This window comes from Homo sapiens, chromosome 6 (genome assembly GCF_000001405.40).
Source record: "Homo sapiens chromosome 6, GRCh38.p14 Primary Assembly".
Lineage (NCBI taxonomy): Eukaryota > Metazoa > Chordata > Mammalia > Primates > Hominidae > Homo > Homo sapiens.
This window is the reverse complement of record NC_000006.12, coordinates 36,758,474-36,780,945: the sequence shown is the minus strand read 5'-3', so window position 1 is coordinate 36,780,945 and position 22,472 is coordinate 36,758,474. Positions and strand designations below refer to the sequence as shown.

The 22,472-nt window shown below is 53.2% G+C and overlaps 1 protein-coding gene across 17 annotated transcripts in view, besides 7 other annotated features; it reads left to right on the top strand.

Moving 5' to 3' along the window:
• The window catches only part of CPNE5 (copine 5), a 99,224-nt gene that overhangs the window by 59,053 nt on the left and 17,699 nt on the right, over positions 1-22,472 (top strand). For 15 of the 17 annotated variants that reach the window (XR_007059285.1, NM_001376889.1, NM_020939.2 and 12 more), the window contains 4 exons: positions 1,989-2,092; positions 5,881-5,985; positions 15,570-15,611; positions 17,954-18,029. Coding sequence is in view for 14 of the 17 variants with exons in the window: in NM_001376889.1 (NP_001363818.1) it covers positions 1,989-2,092; positions 5,881-5,985; positions 15,570-15,611; positions 17,954-18,029 (327 nt within the window). In the remaining 3 variants the exon portion in view is untranslated. Of the gene's footprint in view, positions 1-1,988; positions 2,093-5,880; positions 5,986-15,150; positions 15,234-15,569; positions 15,612-17,953; positions 18,030-22,472 lie in introns of those variants that run through there. The other 2 variants (NM_001376888.1, NM_001376890.1) reach the window with 1 other exon arrangement.
• Positions 3,080-3,788: an enhancer, noted in NCBI's record as "OCT4-H3K4me1 hESC enhancer chr6:36744935-36745643 (GRCh37/hg19 assembly coordinates)". NCBI's record gives its function as "activates a minimal SCP1, AML or CMV promoter by ChIP-STARR-seq in primed H9 embryonic stem cells {active_cell/tissue: H9 hESC(primed)}" and the evidence as "EXISTENCE:reporter gene assay evidence [ECO:0000049][PMID:30033119]".
• Positions 8,529-9,028: an enhancer, noted in NCBI's record as "H3K4me1 hESC enhancer chr6:36739695-36740194 (GRCh37/hg19 assembly coordinates)". NCBI's record gives its function as "activates a minimal SCP1, AML or CMV promoter by ChIP-STARR-seq in naive H9 embryonic stem cells {active_cell/tissue: H9 hESC(naive)}" and the evidence as "EXISTENCE:reporter gene assay evidence [ECO:0000049][PMID:30033119]".
• Positions 11,747-12,278: an enhancer, noted in NCBI's record as "H3K4me1 hESC enhancer chr6:36736445-36736976 (GRCh37/hg19 assembly coordinates)". NCBI's record gives its function as "activates a minimal SCP1, AML or CMV promoter by ChIP-STARR-seq in naive H9 embryonic stem cells {active_cell/tissue: H9 hESC(naive)}" and the evidence as "EXISTENCE:reporter gene assay evidence [ECO:0000049][PMID:30033119]".
• Positions 14,318-15,215: an enhancer, noted in NCBI's record as "H3K4me1 hESC enhancer chr6:36733508-36734405 (GRCh37/hg19 assembly coordinates)". NCBI's record gives its function as "activates a minimal SCP1, AML or CMV promoter by ChIP-STARR-seq in primed H9 embryonic stem cells {active_cell/tissue: H9 hESC(primed)}" and the evidence as "EXISTENCE:reporter gene assay evidence [ECO:0000049][PMID:30033119]".
• Positions 20,706-21,674: an enhancer, noted in NCBI's record as "H3K4me1 hESC enhancer chr6:36727049-36728017 (GRCh37/hg19 assembly coordinates)". NCBI's record gives its function as "activates a minimal SCP1, AML or CMV promoter by ChIP-STARR-seq in naive and primed H9 embryonic stem cells {active_cell/tissue: H9 hESC(naive and primed)}" and the evidence as "EXISTENCE:reporter gene assay evidence [ECO:0000049][PMID:30033119]".
• Positions 20,706-21,699: a biological region, named in NCBI's record as "H3K4me1 hESC enhancer GRCh37_chr6:36727049-36728017".
• Positions 21,510-21,699: an enhancer, noted in NCBI's record as "active region_24444". NCBI's record gives its function as "activates an Ori minimal core promoter by ATAC-STARR-seq in GM12878 lymphoblastoid cells {active_cell/tissue: GM12878}" and the evidence as "EXISTENCE:reporter gene assay evidence [ECO:0000049][PMID:35858748]".

Sequence of the window (22,472 nt, the reverse complement as noted above, 5' to 3'; positions counted from 1 at the left end):
TGTGAATTTTCTGCTTTACCAGTTACCAGCTGGTGATCTCGGTCAGGTCACCTAACTTCTCCAACCTCCAGCTTCCTCATTTGTAAAAAGTAACAAAGGATTATTTTGAGGACTAAATATGATAAGGGGTGTAAAGTGCTGAGCTCAGTGACTGTCCTACACAGACGGCATCTAATAAATGTTGAATGAATGAGTGAGTGAGTGAATGAATGGAGGCTGTGTTTGTTGTCATCAGATGTCCCCGAGGGAAGGCAAGTGAGGTGCTGGAGGTGGGAGTGGGGCAGGGACAGAGGTCACACACACTGTGGCTGGGCGGGGAAACAGGTGTTCAAATAATAACAGCTCACACGCACACAGCGCTGTACTCCTGTTAACTCACTTTATCTCACGAGCCTATGAGATGGGCACTGCCATTACCTCCATTTTATAAGTAGGGAAACTGAGCACACAGAGGGTGAATAACTTGCCTTAAGTCACGCAGCTAAGGAGGGATGGGATTGGGACTGAAGTAGGCAGCCTGGCTCCAGCAGCCGTATTCCTAACCACCGTAGCCACCGCTGAACCTTGTCACTGAGTCCTTCAACTTCATGGGAGCTACGTCTTCTTCTCTGCCACCGTTTTGGCCCTCACTGGGCTGTGGGTCACCCTTCTCAAGACACTCCCCCTCATTAAGAGGAAGGGGGGGCCAGGTGCAGTGGCTCACGCCTGTAATCCCAGCACTTTGGGAGGCTGAGGCGGGCGGATCATGAGGTCAGAATATCGAGACCATCTTGGCTAACACAGTGAAACCCCATCTCTACTAAAAATACAATAAATTAGCTAGGTGTGGTGGCGGGCGCCTGTAGTCCCAGCTACTCGGGAGGCTGAGCAGGAGAATGGCATGAACCTGGGAGGCGGAGCTTGCAGTGAGCCGAGATGGCGCCACTGCACTCCAGCCTGGCAACAGAGTGAGACACCGTCTCAAAAAAAAAAAAAAATAGGAAGGGGGGATGTGTGAGGGAGCGGAGTGACCCCAAGAGCAGGGCAAGTCCTGGGGTCTGGACGACAGAGCCCTGAGCTCAGCTGGCTCGAAGGTGATTTGTCAGGATGCAGAGTTTTCAAATTGCAGAGGCCACACGGGAGGGGTGAAGGGGACAACAGGGACATCTCTGCCCAGTGCCCCGTTGGCCCCAGAGAGCTGAGGGGCTGAGGGGTCCAGAGATCCTCACCAGGGCCGGGACACCTCTGCGTGTTGGGTCAGCTGGGGCAGGGAGCAGGGCTGGGGACTCAGCAGGTGGGCTCTGCTTGGTGAACTTGGGGAAGCCACTCCCTGCTCTGAGCCTTTGGCTTCTTAGCTGTGAAATGGGCCACAGACCCCACTGTATCTACCTGAGAGCATTGGGTGAGCCTCTCATGAGTTGGTGGGTGTGAAAGTGATGCCAAAACTCGAACTTCCTCCAGGAACCACACATAGGTGTGAGGTGGTGAGGCAATGTGGCCAGAGAGAGGGCTTTGGGGCTTGCAGATCAAGCTCAGACTGGCCTTGGGTTTGCTATGTCACCTTTCCGAGCCACTCAGTGAAAGTGTAATGAAACCACGTGTGTTCACATCCATCAAGGGGTTGCCACGTGCCTCACTCTGCCAAGTATGTCACACACTTGATCTCATTTAGTCCTCATGAAAACCCCACGAGATGTGTGCTATCATCAACCCCATGTTCCAGAGGGGAAACTGAGGCTCCAAGAGGTCACCTACCTTGCCCAAGTTCACACAGAGGAAGTGGCAGAGCTAGGATTCACACTGGGGCAGCTGTGGACTCCATGTGCTTCCCCACCCAAGTGGTCTGCTAGGCCTGCTGGGGGGCCGTCTGAGGATGGAATAAGGGCCTGGCACTTAGTCGGTGCATTCCAACCAGGGCTGGTGCCTGGACTCCTCATGCTTGCCGGGGTCTGGGAGCTGTGCTTCCACTTTCTCCTGCCTCACACCCCGTTCTCCCTCCCTCCCACCAGGATGTCGCCACCATGCAGTTCTGTGCCAACAAGCTGGACAAGAAAGATTTCTTTGGGAAATCTGACCCCTTCTTGGTATTCTACAGAAGCAACGAGGATGGAACGTGAGTTTTCTGGGGACACTTGTGCACTGCACCTTCTCGTCCCTTCTGGGGTCAAGGACGGACGGGTGGTGGTGACTTGCCAGGCAGGGTGGCTTGGGCCCATCTCCTTCTGCTCTAGAGAGGGCAAGGGCTCTGGGTGGAAGTCCGGGGCCCCAGGGTAGTGCCCTGAGCACCTAGGTGTGGTCGGTGGGAGGTGGCAGCAGCCTCTAAGCTGGTGGTGCCATTCTGTGGGTCTCAGCAATAGTACTGAGTGGTGGGAGCTAGGTATTTGGAGGGTGGGGGGACTAGGCAAAAACAGGGCTAGGGCAGGAATAGGGGGCCAGTCCCTCATGGGAAACCTCTGATAGCTCCTTCATTCTACACAAATCAGCTCCTAGCTCCAAGCCCAGCCCCCTGTCCTCACAGCCCTCTGAGCAGCCCCCAGTCTGGCCCCCCGCTACTGCCCACACAACAGGGCCAGTCTGGACCCTTTCTGCTGCCCGGCCCCACACTCTGCCATAGGCTTCATTTGGAACTCCAGACTTTGAAGCCCCTATTTCCTCCTCTCTTCTCCCTAATCTAGAAGCCACCCACAATAAGATGGAAGCATACACAACATGTTGGCAAATGTAGGTCAGTAATATATGCAGGGAGACAGATTCTGGGTGGAAGGTCTGGGGACCTAGGTCTTCCCCAGCAGCCTGTTGTGTGACCCTGGGCAAGTGAAGACCCCTCTCTGGGCCTGTTTTCTCATCTGTAAAATGAACCAGTTGGATTATGTGGTCTCCACAGTCTCTTTAAGCACCATGATTCTGGCAGGCTGTGGCCACTTACAGGCTGGGATTCTGCAGAATGAGGAAGCGATGGGGCCAGGGAGGTTAATTAGAGAAGCGCTGCTGGAGAAGGGAAAATTGGAAGCGGGTTTTAAAGGAGAGGAAGAAAATGGGTCCCTGCCATGGGGGTGGGGGAAGCAGGGAAGAATAAAGGGCTAGAGAAGGGAGAAACGTTTGGGCAAAGCAAGTGTGCCCAGAGGGCAGAAAGACCGTCCCCCCAATCCAATTCCCCTTGAAATTGTGTGTGTGTGTGTGTGTGTGTGTGTGTGTGTGTGGTGGGGGGGGGGGTAGGCAGGGGAGCAGCGAGGAGGAGGTGTGTTTCAGTTCAAGGGAAAACTGATTTAAAAATCAGTTTTCCTGAACGTACAAAACAAGGGAAATTAGGTATGATCATTTGCATGACAAAAGGATTCTTTGTCTCACCAAAGGACTCCCAGAAGGATTTCTTTAAATAATTCTGTTGACTTTGACTTGACTTCATATTGGGGAGGAAAAGGCCTGCATATTGTTCCGGGCGTCCACACAGGCCCCCTCCAGGGAGGCAGAGTCAGGGTCAAGCTGGGCTTGTCTGGCTGGGGCCGGCTGGGAGGAGGAGAGGGATTTGGGAGCAGGAGAGGGGTGCACTGCAAAGGGTGCTTGGGAAAGATTGCTCTAGCAGAGCGCTGTGTAGGATGGGTGGGGAGGGTGCGGGGAAAGGGAGAGCCTCGTGACCGACATGGTGAACAGGTGGGAGGTACTACCAGCTCCCACCCTGGAGCTGTGCCGTGGAAATGCAGGGGAAGGAACTGGGGAGGGGAGGAAGGGGGCAAAAGGACAATGAGGGGACCTCACTCGGCCGGACTTGGATGGGACCAAAGTCAGAGCCCTCTCCCTGGCAGTGGAGCCAAGGAAACCCAGAGTGCTTGCAGAGCAGCAGGGGAACTGGTCTGATCAGACCCGGGAGGTCATGGGAGTTTATTTGGGGGCAAGTTTCATTCCAAGTGTGAGCTGGAGCATTCCGGGGGCAAGGAGACACTGATCCCTTCTAGGGGATCCCGTGGGGCACTGAAGAAACTGATCCGGAGGCCCGCCTAGCGGTGGGCCAGTATCCTGCCCCTGTGAAAGGGCGATGGCTGCGCTGGTGAGAACAGGGTGGTCACTGAGGGTTTGCCGGGAAAGGAGTGGAAGGCCTGCAGAGACACCCCCAGTTAGGAGGAAGGTCAGTGAGGGAGCCAGGAGAGGGAACTGTCACACCAGCCACAGGAGGAGGGACAAGGCAAGGAGGCACCTGCTGTGCCCCTGGAGCTGTACCTGATCACTTAGAACACCTGGTGAAGCTTGGCTCTCAAGCGAGAGGAGGGAAAGGGAGAAGTCAGTGGTTCCAGAGATGGGAGGCTGCAGAGGGTCCACAAGGGTCTGTGTGACGGTTGGGGGGTGGTATTTGGAGCCTAGCAGGGCTTCTGCACAGTATCATCCCCCATCCCTCTGGGACCACCCATTCCCTACTCCTTGTTGTCCCTCCAGCTCCCCTCCCACCACTGCCCCAGGCTCCTCTTCCTGCCCCACCTGCCTACCCCAGTCAGGGGCAGCTGTGGCCCCTCCTGCTCCCATCCCCATTCCCATCCTCACCACCAGCTCTGAGGTGTGTGGGGAGGTCTCCCACATGCATCTCCACACTCCAGTGGGTGGGCGAGAAGGAGCAGAGAAGAAAAACGCTAAGCCATGGTGACAGAATGACATTTTGACTTGAAAATTGCCAAAGAAGAAATGACACCGGCTGTGTGGGTATGGGTGGAGCCCAGGCACTTATTTGGGTGACCTTTCTAACCAGAGATGTAGCTGGGGCGGGTTGTGGGAGATCTCAGAGAGACGCCCCTGCCCCCAGCTCAGCCCTGGTAGTGACTGCCCATCCATGTGGCAGGGCTGGCCTCCAGGATGGGTCCAGCCAAGCATGGCGTGGGGCATGGGCAGGGACACCAGATTCGGGCCCATCTGGGATAAGTCAATTCTGAACTTTTAGCTTGCAAAACAGGTTCATGGATTCAGATGGGAAAAGCAGAAAGGGTCTTAAAGATCGTCTAAGTTAGGGGCTTTAATTTCATTGGATTGACATACCAGTGAAAGCTATGGAAACTCGCCCCCCAAGAAATACATTGATTCATTTAAAAAGAATTATTGAATACCTACGAAGTGCCAGGCACTGTTCTAGGCACTAGGGATGTGCCAGTGATCAAAAGAGACAAAAATCCTTGCTTTTATGAAACTTACATTTTAGTGACAGACCATGAGCAGAATAAATAAGGAAAAAATAGACTATATCAAAATGTCAAATGGTGACAAATGAAATAGAAAAAAAAAAGTCTGGGAGGAGTCTAGGGGATGTGAGAGGCAGGAGACCAGGCAGTTGTCAATTTTAGATACGGTAGTCAGGGGAGGTTTCGTGGAGATGGCGTTTGAAGGTAGTGAGGAGTGAGTCACAAAGATGGAAGCGGAGGAGAGAATATTCCAGGCCAGGGGAACAGCAGGCACAAATGACCCATACATCTAATTTCTCCTAGTGTTTCCGGGGTTCACAGACCCCTGAGGTTCATCTGCTCATCCTTCTGTGAATTGCAGATGGAGAATCTTTGATAGAGGGTAACTGCCTGCGTTTACAGGTGGGGAGCTGGAGGCCCAGAGAGGGGAGAGCTTGCTCAAGGTCACACGGTGAGGTGGCCCCAGAGCAGAGGCTAGAACCCAGGGCTCCTGACACCCTGGGACTTGTCCCCACCTCCAGGTCCTCACCTGGTACAGGAACCCTTTCTGCAGGATCTCCAGCAAATGGCCGCCTAGTATCAGCTTGGCTGCTGTCAGTGATGGGCAGCTCATCACCTTTTGAAGCCATCATTTCCGTCGTCCAGGAACCAGAGATGTGAACCAGCTGACTCCTCTGTTGACCTGCATTCGCCTCCCTTGGGTTTGGGCCTGACAGCCTTTCCCTCTCTTCTTCTTCACCAGGTTCACCATTTGCCACAAGACCGAGGTCATGAAGAACACCCTAAATCCAGTCTGGCAAACTTTCTCCATTCCCGTGAGAGCCCTCTGCAACGGCGACTACGATCGGTGAGATGAGAAAATGTCCCTTCTTTTTTCCTTCTGCTTCTGGGCCCTCCCCAAGCACAAGTGAGGGTGGCCCCATTCATATTGACGTGGTCAGTCCCATCAGTAGAAATGAGGCCTTCTGGAGTTGTGCAGTAGGGGGTGCCCTGCACAGGCTGGGGCTTGGTGAGCCCCTCCACTCTTTCCCTGCTGCACCCGGCAATGTCTGCCTCTTCACAGCCTCACAGATCCTCTTCTCCCCACCCGCCCCACCTCTTTCCCCTCTGTCTGGCATCCCCACTGGTGGGAAACTCCCAAGGTTAGGGGGATGGGAAGTGCCCAGGATTCCAGGGAAACCCAGATGGGTGTCCCGGGTGCCCAGGCCTGGAGTTCAGCAGCTTGTCTTTTCATTGTTCCCAGTGGAGGAGCAGATGGCAGCAGGGAAGCAGGGTGTTGATGCAGGCAGAGGCAGCTGGTCCCAATTCCTGGCCAACAGACTGGGGAGTCAAGATCCTAGGGATACATCCTGCCAGCCTAGTTGCCATAAACAAACGGGGTAGAGTGCAAAGAGCTTCTGGGATTTCTTTCTCTTTTTTTAGACAGGGTCTCGCTCAGTCACCCAGGCTGGAATGCAGTGACAGTGGCGCCATCACAGCTCACTGCAGCCTGGACCTCCCAGGCTCAAGCGATCCTTCCACCTCTACCTCCTGAATATAGTTGGGACTACAGGCACCTACCACCACGCCCAGCTAATTTTTTATTTTTGTAGAGACTGGTTTCGCTGTGTTGTCCAAGCTGGTATCAAACTCCTGGGCTCAAGCAATGCACCCATCTCTGCCTCCCAAAGTGCTGGGATTACAGGTGTGAACCACCATGCCTGGCAGATTTTTTTTTTTTTTTTAATTGAGATGGGATTTCACTCTTTCACCCAGGCTGGAGTGAAGGGACATTTTCTCATCTCACCGATTTCAGCTTACTGCAGCTTCCACCTCCTGGGCTCAAGCAATCCTCCCACCTCAGCCTCCCGAGTAGCTGGTACCACAACCATGCACCACCACGCCCGGCTAATTTTTTGTGTTTTTGGTGGACATGGGGTTTCACCATGTTGCCCAGGCTAGATTTTTTGTTTTAACATATGCCTACTCTTATTACATGTTGGCTATCATCTTCATCATCATTTGAGTGTAGATTGTTGAGTGTAGATACCAGATACCTGGTTGCTAATTCTGACTCTGTGACCAAAAAGCACTGTCAACCTGGGCAATCCTTGACCTGTCTGAGCCTGAGTTTCCTTATCTGTAAAATGGGTATTAAAATGTCTGCCTACTCTACAGGACTGCATTGACGCTCACACGACACAACCTACACAACGAGGCTCTGTTGTGCCTAAAATACCAAATTCAGCATCTCATCCACAAATGTTTAGGGAACCCCTGTCATGTACCAGGCACTGTGCTAGATGCTGGGAAATCAGCAGGGTGCAGTCTTCACCCTTCACCCAACCTAGTGGTGTTTACATGCCAGTAGGGGAGGCAGACATTAATCCAATAATCACACAAGGAAACATGTAATTATACATTGTAGCAAGCGCCGAGAGAGCGAGTGGGGCCACCACCCAAAATGGGAGCTGTGAGACTGTGTTGGTTTCTGTTGAGTCAGGAGAACCCATCCCTGTCTCCTGGTGATTGCTGCAGCTCAGGTGGGTGAGGTGGTAGGGGGCTCATGGGCAGGGCTCTCTGGACAGCTAAGAAAGCTGGGCCTCTGGGCCACTCCGACAGGAGCACTGGGGTGTCGAAACAGACACCTGGGGTCAGGCGTGGTGGCTCACGCCTGTAATCCCAACACTTTGGGAGGCTGAGATGGGCTTGAATCCAGGAGTTCAAGACCAGCCCGCGTAACATAGTGAGACCCCCATCTTTACAAAAAAAAATTTAAAAATTTAAAACTAAATTTAAAAAAATTAAAACATTAAAAAAAATTATCTGGGTATAGTGGCGCACATCTGTGGACCCAGCTACTCAGGTGGCTGAGGCAAAAGGATCACGTGAGCCCAGGAGTTCAAGGCTGCAATGAGCTATGATTGCACCACTGCACTCCAGCTTGGGATGCTGTCTCAAGAAAAAAAAAAGAAAACCTTAAAGACAAAAAAGAAAACAAACAAACAAAACCAGACACCTTGGGGCAGCTGGGAGCCTGAAAAGGCATGTTGAGGGGATGATCAGCAGATGAATGGCCTCCAGGCACCCCTGTTACACTCCGAAGAAACCCCCAGGCTGCCAGTTTGAGACATGAGCTTGTTCTTTTTCCTGCCTCTTGGCTGGGACAGAAGAGCCACAGTCTGTTCCACAGGTGGTCACTGAGTGCCTCCTGTGTCCCAGCGTGGCGCCTCTAGCTGTGCGGATTTAAACGAACAGGGTCGCCTTCCCATCTTTAGGGAGACTGTGGTCTGACCACAGGCAGCACAGATGTGCACATGTATTTTAGACAGATAAATAAGTGCACAAAATAAGACTGGGAACAAAGACGGTCTTAGCGCTGCAGTCAAACAAGCCTCTGTTACACATCTAGCTGGCTCCTGGGGCTTCTAGAGTGGGTGAGGGGATGAGAGGACAGGCTGGTTGGAGCAGTGAGAGGACGGGCTGGTTGGAGCAGTGAGTTCTAAAGAAGGCCCAGGAAAGGCTGGAAAGTCAGGGGTGGAGGATCCTGGGGACAGGGGCACGGGAATAAAGGGAGATGGAAACAAAGTGAGAGGAAATTCAAGGTAGGGGGATGGGAGAGTATGGCAGTTAAAGTCTCACAGGGCAGAAGGAATTGGGGATCCCTGGCCCAACTGACCCCTCACAACCCTGTATCTCTAGAGAGGAGCTCCCAGGGTTGCAGGAGCCAGCTTTGTCAGGGACAGTGAAAGGGGCAGCAGGGCTCGGAGGCCTGGCTTCACCACTGGGCCGTTGGAGGAGGTGGGTATTTATTTGGTGGGAGGGGCAGGCTCCCACCTCCCACTCTGAGGCAGAGCCTAGCCTCATCTCGCTGCAGGATGGCCCTCCCCCATGTCCAGAAGCAGATCTTCCATAATGTGACTGACAGTAGTGTTAATCAAGGAGGCCAGGGATGTCACTCTGGCTCCAAGAACGATCAGGCCTATCCCCCCGCCCCCCAGCCCCAGTGTAACCCACGCACCCAACAGACACTCAGGAGGTGCCAGTATCAGAAGGCCCTCCAGGGTAGGCAGGGGAGGGCCCTGTGCAGGAAAATGGGGCCACTGTCCCCTCCTTCCAAGACACCTCTTGGAGCCTCACAGAACGTAGTTGATTTAATTCAGCAGCCGTGTCTTCCAAGCCAGTCAGGCCCCAGGCACTGTGTTGGGTGCTGTGGGGGCCTATTGACCCAAGCCTCCCTCTTAGGTTGCTCCCAGGCCAGTGGGGAGACAGACAGGTCATGATAATAGCAAAGACTCCTATAGCACTTAACCATGGGCCAGGCCCTGCTCTAAGTGCTTTATGTATAGGAACTAATTTAATCCCCCCAACAATTAGCTCATTGCAAAGAGGTGCTGATGCTAGCCACATTTTACAGGTAAGGAGACAGAGAGGCCCTGAGAGATTAAGTCACTTGCCCAGTGTCTTGCTGCCAGCCGGTGGTAGAACCAGGATGTGGACCCCGGCAGCCTGGCTCTAGATTCTGTGTTGTTAATCCCTATGCACTGTTGCCAGATAGCCAAGACATGGCATGACAGGGCTGTGACCAGGGTGCATCTGGGGGAGGCTTACTAATGAGCACCTTGCTCAGGGGTTAGGGGCAGTTCTGCTTTCTGATTAGAGGTAGGGAAGCTGCTTGGATTGGTTTTAGTCCTCAAAGCATTAACGTCCTTCTGGCTTTAATACCAAATAATTCAGAGGGGAGAGGAGAGGGGAACAGCAAGAAGGAAGAGGAAGACCCAAAAGGCCTTGGTACCTGCCTGGGTAAGGGAGTGAAAGAGGGGAAGGGATAATGGTTCAGCGTTTGAGGGCAGGAAAAGGTGGCACCACCGACAGAAATGGGCAGTGTGATCGGCAGCCAGATTCTTACTCACAGATTTGTGTTCCGCAGTTCTTTTCACAGCCTATCTGAAACCCATTTTTAAAAAAATTATCCTTCTTAAGTTATAAAGATTATGTTTGTTGTTTGAAAACGAGCTGCTGCTGTTGAGAGGTTGGGGAAAGAGAGGTAAACTTGGTTTCAGCCACATTGAGAGGAGGCAGCTGTGGACCAGGCACCGCTAAAGCAGGAGGGGACAGCAGTCTAGGGTCTCCAGGAGGGGGGTGGCCAGAGATCTGGTGCCCTGAGAGGCCCTGTGGGTGATGCCAGAGGCCAGGAGCAAGAAAGAAGAGGAGATGGTCAGAGGGATAGGAGGGAACTAAGAGGAGGGCGGCACGGTCAGGGATCATTCCCTCCTATTGTGAGAAGAGGTACAGGAGGATGAGAACCCGGGCCTGATGAGAAAGGGCAGTGTTCTCGGAATGATGGGTGTAGAAGCCAGGTAATACGATTACAGTTACTGAGGACTTAGGACATGGACCAAGTTGTATTCTAATTGGTTTAAATGCGTTATCTTATTTTGTGAATTTAAATTTTACAATAACCCTAGGAGCCGGGTCTAGTGCTGTGCCTATTTTACAAGGGAAATAGAAGAGAAGATATTATATAACTTGCCAGAGTAAGGAGAAGCTGCATTTCCCTCCTGTTGAAATTGCCTCTGGCCTGGCCCTCTGGCCTGGAGTCTCCCTGCCTTTGCTATGTGTCCAGTCCACACAAGGCCAAACCTGAGTGACCTAGCTGAGCAGAGCTGAAGTCACAGGAAGTGGCATCAGGATCAGAGCCAAGCCAGCCTTCCGGTGGGGTAAAGTGGGGTGATGACAGGAAGCACTTCCCCTGCCTTCCTGGAATTTGCCCTACTCTCTTAATGTTCTGTGACTTGAGGATTTGTCCCTGTTAAACCACAGTTGTCTGGGTCAGGCTGCTCACACCTTGATGCTGAATGAGTAGATTTTAAGAGGGTGTTAAGAGTGTGGAGTCCTCACCTGGAGAGAGGAAAGGAGTCACCGCAGCTTCCCACTTCTGCCTGGCACCCTTGATGTGTGAGTTCCTTCTCTTTTGCATCCGGCCACAGATGAGCTCCCAGGAGGGCCAGGCGCCCTATCAGGCATCTCCACAGATGGCCTCGATGAAGGGCATCGTACCGTTCTCGGTATTCACATGCAGAAGCTGAGGCTCAGACGGGAGGCACGGTCACCGCGGCACTGCCCGGTGTTGCGCAGTGCAACCTGGGGGCCGAGATTGCTGCCAGTCTCACTGCCTGCCCCAGATGAGGCCCTGATGCTCCTCTTCCTGAAGAGTTGAGTGTTGGACTGACTCAAGTCCATTTAAGGCAAAACCCCTCAGGGCCTGTCAGCCCTCGGGACTTGTAAGCCGCAGGGAAACCTTCCCCCTGCCAGGCAGAGGCTCATTAGGAGGCAGACCTTGCAGCTCAGCTGGGAGGAAACTATAGATAGAGCTAGTTGGTATGCCGTGGGGGCAGCCTGGCGTTTTGGCTGGTGTCTCTCATCCCTGCTGGCTTGCCCAGGCTCACACATATCTGGCTCTGTCATTGTGGCTCTAGGTGTCCAGAGGCCCAGGTCACTGACTCCTGGCATCACCACTGACCAGCTGTGTGACTCACGGAGAGCCACATACTCTTGGCCTCCTTTTGTGATTTTGTAGAATGACGGTATTATTACCTGCACAGCCCATTTCATCACGTTGCTAGGAGCTCTCAGTCAGCCAACAAATATGTATACAGCACCTGATATAGGCTAGGCACTGTTCTAGAAGCTGAAGATACAGCAGGAAACAAACAAACAAAAATCCCGGGCCTCATGGAGCTGATATTTTCAAGAAGCATGGGAATTGTTTGAGAGACAGGAGCTTGGATAAAGGGATGGAGTGTTTTAGACAGGAACAGAGCAACATGTGTCCAGCGCTGACTGTACGTGGAGATAGTTTACTTGCACAGCAGCTCCAAAGTGGCTGTGATTTTTCTCAATTTGGAAAGGAGGGGAGTGTCTGAGGGTTAAGCCAGTTGCTCGGGGCAACAGACCTAGTACTTGGAAGAGCTGAGACTGCCAGCCAGGGCTGCTCACCCCACAGCCGAAGGTCTTTTCTGCCCACTTTGCTGCCTCCTAGGTTAGGCCTCTGTCCTGAGCCTTTGTATGCCAGATAAGGTGTTCATTTGGTGGTCTGCAGAAGCCCATTTCATTTTCCCACACCCAATAAGCCTGTTCTCTTGGGTGCCGGCCCCAGAAGTCACAGTCAGCTGGACCGCAGCTTTTGTTGGCCCTGTGCTAAGGGGTTAGGAGCCAAGGCCAGCAGGTGACAAGTGACATCTGCAGTGACTTCAGGCAGCCCAACCAGGGTGGACAGCCACAGAACTGTGAATATGGCTGGGCACGCTGGTTCACGCCTGTAATCCCAGCATTTTGGGAGGCCAAGGTGGGCGGATCACTTGAGGTCAGGAGTTTGAGACCAACCTGGCCACCATGGTGAAACCCCGTCTCTACTAAAAATACAAAAATTAGCCGGATATGATGGCATGCGCCTGTAATCCCAGCTACTCAGGAGGCTGAGGCAGAATTGCTTGAACCCAGGAGGTGGAGGTTGCAGTGAGCCGAGATCGTACCACTGCACTCCAGCTTGGGCGACAGAGCGAGACTCTGTCTCAAAAAAAAAAAAAAAAAAAAAAAAAAAGAACTGTGAATAGAGTAGTCAAAGCCTTATTTGTCTTCTCCCCATGGTCTTCCCCCTGTCTCTGGGCACTATTTCTCTCACCTCCTTCTCTCCCAAAGCTGGAGGTGCAGACTTTGAGCTAATCTGACCCCCAGGCTGCAGCCATCCCTGGAGCCTTAATGGAGGCCAGGCCGAGTTTGCACAGGAATCTCATTCAGTGGTCTCAACCTGGGTTGCAAGTTCAAATCCCCCTGGGGAGCTTTTAACAATTCCCATGCCCAGCTTGCACTCCAGACCAACTGATCATGAATCTCTCGGGTAAGACATTGGTGTCAGTATTTCTAAAGCTTCTTGGGGGGATTCCAAATTGCAACCAAGTTTGAAAACTAGTGCTGTCTTCTAGAGAAGGTCAGTGGCTCTGGTTGCATGTTAGAATCCATCACAGAACTTTTCAAAACTACCCAGGCCTGAGTCCTATCCAGACCAATTAAATTAGGCCCTCTGGCCTGGGATTAAAATTTTCCCCAGTGATTTTGTGGATATGCAGGGCTGTCACCATGACTGGGGTCCTCCTCCAGCCTCTGAGCATGTGGTCATCACCCATCTAGTCACCCGAGGGGCTGGTGTTGGTGGTCAGAGGAGAGCTATTCTTTGCTGGGGTCTCTGAAGGTCCCCTGCAGAGCTTAGCGGTCTGGGGAAGGACTGGGAGGCCACTGGGCAGGGGTAGAGAGACTTCAGCCTTGTGGGGCCATGACCGAAGTCCTGGACTGGGAGTCAGGGCCTTGGTCTTGTTCTGGCTCAGACCCTCAGCTGGGTGACTCTAGGCAAGTCACTGGAGGCTCTTAGGGCTCAATTTTCCCATCTGACAGTGGGGTGGAGGTCATCACTCCGGAACACATACAGCACAGTCACTAGGGAAGCCTTGAAAACAGATTCCTGAGTCTTGCCCAGAGCTGGACCTGGGAGTCTGTGTCTGAAAAGCTGCCACTGATTTGGCCAGGCAGTCAGGCTTGAATCAGAAGTTGCAAAGCCCAAGTACCTAGGCTCAAGTGTCCCTGATTGAAGTAAATTTCATACGAAAAACTATCAGAGGCCGGGCGCCGTGGCTCATGCCTCTAATCCCAGTACTTTGGGAGGCCGAGACGGGTGGATCACTTGAGGTCAGGAGTTCGAGGCCAGCCTGGCCAACATGGTGAAACCCCATCTCTACTAAAAATACAAAAAATTAGCCAGGTGTGGTGGCTCATGCCTGTAATCCCAGACACTTGGGAGGGTGAGGCAGGAGAATCAGTTGAATCCGGAGGCGGAGGTTGCAATGAGCCGAGATCACGCCATTGCACTCCAGCCTGGGCAACAGAGCAAGACTCCATCTCAAACAAGCAAACAAACAAACAAAAACCTATCAGAGCGCGGCCAAATGATGAAGTGGAGAGAAGGAGGCATTTTTGTAGAGACCCTCCCATGCAGCAGGCGGGCCTTACTAGCTTGTTCTTGCAGCTGTTCTGCAAGGCCGTTATTACTTCTCCTTTCAATGGTGGCTTATGGCTCGGGGAGATTAAGTGACATCTCAGGTCCCATAGTGAGGGGCCCAGGTCCAAGCGTAGGGCCGTCCTGGTCTTTCCACTCTTTCCAGCTCATCAACCCACCTTCAGGGGCTTAGGTGATTTTTTTTTCCTTTCCACAATAATTCACCTCAGAGAGACATGGTTTTTTGTTTTTCACAAGAATCTAAAGGATTCCTTTAAATGGTGGGCTTCCATGCCTGCCTCATTGTACAGGAGTGCTGGTTTACAGAAATCCAGTGTGTGCACAACCTACTGGGCATTCCTTCATTCAGAACAGTTTCTGCCCTGCTGCGGTGGATCTGTCGCCTACCCTTGGTCCTGAGGATGCTCATCTGAAAGGAGACAGCGCCTCCTCCTGGAGGGGCCACAGAAGCCCAAGGCTGACTCCTGGCAGGCCCGAGGAGATGGGCGAGATGATGGGATGTTAACAAAGATAGGCCCGGGGAGCTGCCTCTCTGCACCCCACTAAGAACTGAAGGCTGAAGACCCCAGCTCCCCAGGCCCTTCCCACCTCCCCAAACCTGACCCTGCTGTGGGACCCTGGCAGCTCCCCTGTCCCTGGGCATCCCTGGAGGATCGAGCAGCTGGCACCAAGGGTTAACCGCAACCCTCCACCTCCCTCCTCCCAGCTCTGGTCCGCTAGCCTGTTGCCATGGGAACGTGGCTAAAAATAAAATGGGCTCTCAAAGCCCATCCGCATGCATAGGAGTCAAAACAAACTAATTAAAGCAGCCAGGCTAAAATATGAAGATAATTACACCCTCACTCAGGAGCCAGTCGTGGGGATGGAAAAGCTCAGCGGGCCATCCCCGAGCCAGGGCCCTGGGCTCCTCCCTGACGTGCAGGGCTGGCTCCCACACCCAAAGCCCTCAGACCCTCAACAAGCAGTCTTCTTCCCTCCCCTCCACCCTGCCGGGGCCTGAGATCCAGGGAGCACCACACTCCCACCTCCCCGCTCCTCCACCCCTGGTAAATCCACAGTGCAGCTCCATGCTGAGCTTATGCCCCTTCTGCAGTGGCCAAGAAGAAGGTGGGGTGAACTGAAGTCTGCAGCTGTTTTTCCCACATTCTCCTTGAAATTCTGGGCAGTCCCTACACAGCCCTGGCTGCCCTTTTCCTAAGGCCTTTCCTAAAAGGCCTCAAGAGAGATCCTTGTCTCTCAAGCCGCTGCCTCCCCACCCAGGGCCCTGGGGCCCAGAGGGAGTCCTGGCCTCCCTATCTGGTCCGGGAACATGAAGAGGGCCCCATCCTCAGCCACGTGGGTGTGGGGTTGGGCCCATCCCAGCAAAGGCCTTTGTTTTGCAGGACCATCAAGGTGGAGGTGTACGACTGGGATCGGGACGGCAGGTAAGCAGGCAGGAGGGCAGGGGCGAGAAGGTGAGTGGGGATGGGGACAGCCACTGGGCCCTGCCCTCCCATGCGGAGCTGTGACCAGGCTCCCCCCCGCAGTGGCTCTGGGGGTGAGGGAGCCTGGGTTTGCGTGTGTGTGGAGGGTGGGGGAGGGGTCCTCTGCTGCAGTAGCTCCTCCCCATCCAGCTCCACGGAGGCACCAAAGCACCTCTGTCCTGCAGGATATGGTGTGAGGGGCATAAGAGGCCTCCTTTTTCCCAAATAGCTGCCCAGGGGCCCGCCAGTACCCACAATCTCCCCACGCGTGGCAGAATTTAGGGCTTTCTGAAGAGTGCATGTTCTAGGGCACAGACACCAGTGAACTTCAAGCATTCATGGACACATTTTCCGCGTGAAGACTCGGGCTAAGCATTGTGGGGTGACGGAGATGCAGAGGAGCCCAGCCCTCAGAGACTCCCCACAACCTAGCAGGGAGGCCAATTGTACCCGTACAGCCCTCGGCTCATCAGAGGAGCTGTTTGCAGAGAGCCAGGACTGAGGGAATGGGCTGTGGGAAGGGAGAGCTACGAGGCGTGAGTGGACTCATGGGCCGTGAGACAGTGCCTGTGTAGGGCTGTCCCTGGCTGCTGGGAGGGTGCTTCCCACTCGGGGTCTTTGGGAGGCCAGTACTTCTGGGAATCCATAGAGGAGGACAAGAGCAGGCCTCTCGAAGCTTCAGTCCAGAACCCACCCTGGCTTCTACTTGTCGGCTGAGCCAAATCCAAATATGTCACCCTGACTTTTGTGACATTTCCATTCTGTGGCACTACCAAGGAGTGACTTAGGAGGACTTCAAGGTCCCCCAGTGTCCGCTGGTACCTCCCAAGTCTGTGATATGGACAGGGGGTTTGTTTTATCTTATGTAAAGTGCTATGCAAATGCAGCTCCAGGTGAGACCCAAGCCCCCTTCCAAGGAACTCTCCTTCCCCTGAGACCAACCATCCTGCAAGAAGCTCCAGAGCCGCTATGCCCTCCCCTCCTTGCCTCTCAGCTACCTCACAGTCAGCTTCATTGTTTCCACCTGGAATTTGCCTCGTCTTACCCTGGCGTTCCTGTACTCCTTTGCCTGGAATAGTCTCCTCTTCTGTGCCAGTTGGGGACAGCTACCAGGTGCCACTGGGTCCCACCATGAAGTTGCTCATAGTCAGAATGCTGAGAGCTGTAAATATGTAGACACAATACAGTGTAGGCTCACGGTGGGGGGTGGGGGGGTGGGGCCCCAGGGACACCTCTTGGGCATCAGTCTCCGGCTGGATGCCCCAGGCCAGCACATTGACCAAGGCCCTCTGGCAGTGACTGGGGAAGTTAAAGGAGCCAACCCTGGGGTCAGTGGGAGTTCTGCCATGTACAAGTCTTGGCCGTGCTTGATGTAAGCACTCCAGAAGGTGTGGGCACTGCAGAAAACACTTGCAGCCACCCAGCTGGACATCGCTCTCATTGTGTTTTAAAAATAATCTCATTAGAGAAGGGTTTAATGAACACCTTTAATCCCATCACCTGAATTTAACATTTGTTATATTTGCTTCATCTATGTTTTGCTAATGTAGCTTAAATTATAGACTTCATGGCATTTTACCTCTAAATGCTTCATTGAAAATGTCTAAAAAATAAGGGCACTTTCCCACTTACCCACAAATGCCATTATCATACTTGACACATTGAACAATATTCTTTTTTTTTTTTTTTTTTTGAGATAGAGTCTCGCTCTGTTGCCCAGGCTGGAGTGCAGTGACACAATCTCAGCTCACAGCAACCTCCACCTCCTGGGTTCAAGCGATTCTCCTGCCTCAGCCTCTGGAGTAGCTAGGATTATAGGTGTCCACCACCACGCCTGGCTAATTTTTGTATTTTTAATAGAGACGGGGTTTCACCTTATTGGCCAGGCTGGTCTCGAACTCCTGACCTCAGGTGATCTGCCCGCCTTGGCCTCCCAAAGTGCTGGGATTATAGGCATGAGCCACCGCGCCCGGCCACAATATTTTTAAATACCATTCACTATTCATTTCATATTCAAATTTCCCCAGTTGTCCCCCAAATACCCTTGTTCAAACAAGGATCCAAGTAGAAGTGGGTGCTGTTCTTCCAGGGCCCTGCTCTTTACTGGGTGACAATTGGGTTTCTTCCTCTGTGGGCAACACTGGGCTCTCTTCCCACGGACCCAGCCTGTCTGCTGGCGTGTGCCCCTGGAGTGGAGTCCCAGGTAGAATTGGGAGCCAAAGAAACGGATGTGTGCAAGGCTGGGGCTGGGCAGAGGCAGGGCACAGCCTGGCCTTGGTCTCAGCAGCCGTCTTCCCTTGCAGCCATGACTTCATTGGGGAGTTCACCACCAGTTACCGGGAGCTGGCCCGTGGGCAGAGCCAATTCAACATCTATGAGGTGAGGTGGGCACCCGAAATCCAGGGTTTGCACTACTAAGTGGCCCAGTCACTGAGGACTGTAGTGAGCCATGCACTGGGCTGGGGGCTTGGTGTGTTTTCCTGTGAGAAAGGGGTTATTGTCCCATTCTACCGTTAAGGAGACCAAGTCTTGGAGAAGTGCGAGAACTTGCCCAAAGTTCCACCATTCAGTAAGTGGCAAAATCAAGACACAAACAACCCAGACTTGGCTGATTCCAAATCACCGAGTTATAGTGTCCCCATAAAGAGCAGTTCTCACAAGCAAGAGAGATAGGAGCACGATGGGAGCCAGTATACGAAGGTTCTGGGCTTGAGACCTGAGGTCCTGAGTTCGAGGTGGCCTTGTGCTTTCAATCAGAACAGTTTCAGGGCCTGCTGAGTATCTTACCTGTTTCAGAATGAAAACTTCAAGAGAATGAGGTCAGGATACCTTCCTTGTTCTAGCCCCAGAGCTGGAGAGCCTCGGACAAGGCACCTGGTCTCTCTGGAGGTGTAACAGTAGCATTTGCCCTCAAGGGACAATGTCTGCATGTGTGTGTGTGTGTGTGAGCATGTATTTGCGTGTGTGCGCATGCGTGTGTGTGTGTGTGTGCATGTATGTGTGTGTGCGCGTGCGTGTGTGTGTATGCGTGTGCATGTGTGTGTTCTCCCTCTTTTTTTTTTTTTTTTGAGACAGGGCCTCACTCTGTTGCCCTGGTTCACTGCAGCCCCAATCTCCCAGGCTCAAGCGATCCTCCCACCTCAGCCTCCCGAGTAGCTGGGACCACAAGCACGCACCACCATGCCCAACTAATTTTTTAAATTTCTTGTAGAGACAGGATCTCGCTATGTTTCCCAGGCTGGTCTTGAGCTCCTGGGCTCAAGCGATCCTCCTGCCTTGGCCTCCCAAAGTGCTGGGATTATAGGCCTGAGCCACCGCGTTCTACTGTGTGCTCTCCCTTTTGCAATTCCCTCCCCACCTTCCAAATCTAGCTCAGGTCCTGCTCCTCTGTGAGGTCTTCCCAGCCACTCTTGTCCCCGTGCTTTCTTGTCTGAACTTCCACAGACATCATGGTTCATGCCAAACCCACTTAATGGCAGATACTTATAACCCAAATAACTGCTTGTGTTCGTATCCTGACTCTACCACTTACTAGCTACGTGACCTTGGCTAAGTCTCTGAACTACTCTGTGCCATGCAAACTGAGAATTAAATAAGTTAATGGAACAATGCCTGACCCAGAGGTCAGCACTGTCTTCTGTCACCATCTGCTGAGCACTGTGTGCCCAGAGGTTCACATTTTACAACCATCCTACCATCCTGGCACTGTCCTCATGCTAGCAGCCACTCAGCCAGCAAAGTTGAAGAGCTGGCCTTGAGTTCCATCACTGAATCCAAATCCCATGCTACCCCCACTCCTTTGCCCTGCATGTCGGTTCTGAGTGGGCAGGTCTTGTGTTCCAACTAGACTTTCCAAGGGCTGGTGAGGTGACAGCCCTGTCTGTTGCCTCCCCTCACTGGCCAGGGCACTGCCGGGCACACAGTAGGTGTGTTATACATTCGCATGCTGAATGAGATTGAACATGGCTATTGTGAAGATGGAGTGTGGATGAATTTATTTGAAAGGGCTCTAATACAGTACATTGCTTTGTTTTCTGCATCTGCAAAGAGAGAAGCTGTCTTTGTCCCCGCTCCCCCGCCCCACCCCAGTCAGAGAGAAGCAGATGCCACCATTCTCTGGCCTCCTTTGAGGAGATTTAGGGAGGTGAAGGGAAGGGGTCAGATCTCTCCGAGCTTGGCTTCTAAAGGTGCTTGACAGGCCCAGAAGGAGCTGTTTCTCTCGGGCTAAGAGCAGAAAGCATTCAATTGACTTGTTTTCTCAGTTGTTGATCCCTGCTTCTTTGTAATCAACAAGAGAAAGTGCCACACTGGGAGGCAGAAGCACTGTCTGCACACATCGGAAGGCCATCAGCTGAAAAAGGAGCACAGCTCTGGCAGTCCCAGGGGGAGGCTGGTTTGGGGCAGGAAGGCCTTGCTAGAATCAGAACTGCCTGAAAAGGGAACAGGCTCCAGCCAGTAAAGACCTGTGCCTCGGGCCCTGGCATTGCCCTAGTGTCAGGCTCCTATGTCCAGCTGTCTGCTGGCCCTTCCTGTAGCTCAGCCTTCCAAAACTGAACACATTAGCTAAACCTCCCACAGCACTCCCGTCCTCCTGGCGAGCCGGCTTCATCTCAAATATTCCCATCATGGGGGCTCAGGGCACCTTAGGGGTCATACTTAACTTCCCCATCCCTCATTCCATATCCAGTCCACGAGCAAACACTGCTCGCCTACCACCCATGTTTTCTGACATCGTTCCCCTCATCTCAGGCCACCACCACCAACTTCATCATCTCCCCCCTTATGGGGCTTTGCCACAGCCTCCTTTCTTCCTTCTGTCCTCTACACAGTAACCAGCGTACTCCACCAAAATAGTGATCTGATCACATCGCTCCCCTGCTTAAAATCTGTGTAGGGCATTCCACCCACCTCCTTAGCCTGGTTCGCACATGGGAGGTGGGAAGAGATACTGAAAGATGCTCCCACCGCAGCTGAGATCCACTGACCTACAGGGTGAAGTTCCAAGCTCTTTCATTTGGGATGCTGTTTCCCCAGCCAGCCACCCGCAATCTGTGTATGCGTGCTTTTTTTTTTTTTTTAAGATGGAGTCTCATTCTCACCCAGGCTGGAGTGCAGTGGCACAATCTCGGCTTACTGCAACCTCCACCTCTACTTCCAGGCTCTAGCTATCCTCCCACCTCAGTCTCCCAAGTAGCTGGGACCACAGGCACACACCACCACCCTGGCGATTTTTTTTTTTTTTTGCATTTTTGGTAGAGATGGGTTTTTGCCATGTTGCCCAGTCTGGCCTCCAACTCCTGAGCTCAGGTGATGCACCCGCCTCGGCCTTGCAAAGTGCTGGGATTTCAGGTGTGAGCCACCACGCCTGGCTGTGCATGTAAATAAAAACACACATCACATGCCTTTGGAGGCCCCTAGGAGCTGGCCCCTGCCCCTTCCCTCTGCCCATTCCCACATTCATCCCCGTCCTGCCACCTGAGGCTCTCTGAACCTCCGTGCTGTCTCAGCCTCCAGGGCTCGATTCATATGGGTGCCTCCACCTGAGACTCCCTCTTGTCTTCTCCTGGGTAGGAGCTATTGGTCCACGGAGCCTCCCTGTGGGTGTTCCTCCTCCAGGAAGTTGTGTCCACCTGCACACCCGCCCCACCCCAGAGCCTGGAGTGGACACTTGTCAGTGCTCCTGGGGTTCCTTCTGGCTATTTTCTGTTTTGTGACACTATTCAACCCCTCAAAGACCTTGAAGTCCTCAGGGTGGGGGTTGTGTTGCACTTACTGCTGCATCCCCAGAGCCAGCACAGCTCCTGGCCCCTAGGAGCCCCTCAGTGCCCCCACCCACCCCACCTAATGTGCGCAGGAGGGCAGATTCCAGACCTGTCCTGTCCCCGCCTGACCACCAAGAAGAAGGGAGGTGACTTAGTGGAGGGGCAGCTCCTCGGCTGGCCCCTAGGTGGCGCTGGCCCCCTGCATGGGATTCACCGTGGCGGGGCTGGAGAGGCTGAGGCTGGGAGCATGAAACCTCAGGGTAAACAGGGATCTGAGAACAGAACATTGCTTTAACATTAAAGCAGTTATATCAGAGAGTGGAAATGTGGAATACAGGCTAATTTAAAGATAACATAGAAAGCTTAGAAGAAACATGCTTGTGGCCAAATCTTTGGTTACTCTCAGGACTCCGGGTTCATTCTCCCCAGCTGGGAGGGCTATGTTGGAGCAAAAGTTTGAGATGCTGTCCATTCCGATAGTTCAACACCCTCAAGGGAGAGATTGGGAAACTGAGGCACAGTGCAGCACTGGGGCTGCCATTTTGCCCTCATCTTAACAGCTTGCCTACTTAAGCTGTTTTCCCATGAATGTGTCCGTGAGCACCTCACCATCTGGGTAACCCCGTGGAGGGGGCGTCCTCCAGTGCTAAAGAGGGTGCTCTGGTCTTCTCTCCCGGGCTCTCTCACCATCTCGCCCAGGCCCTCAGTTTCTACCTGCACAGCTTGCCAGACCTCCCACGTGAACTTCCCACCTGTGCCCCAAATCCAGCGCCTTCCTTCTGTGTCTACCTGGTCACCCCAACCCCTCCCTCTCTCGAACCTCTATAGCCACGCCCAGGGCCCAAGAGGCGTGGTCACTTCTTGACAGCGCTGTTCTCACCATAGCTCAGCACCTGTCCCAATACCCCCAAGTCCTCATGACCTCTCGCATGGACTTATGGTGGCAGTAATAATAGTAGTAGTAATTTTGAAAAATAGCAACTAAGGCTGGGTGCAGTGGCTCACGCCTGTAATCCCAACACTCTGGGAGACTGAGGCAGGAGGATTGCTTGAGCCCAAG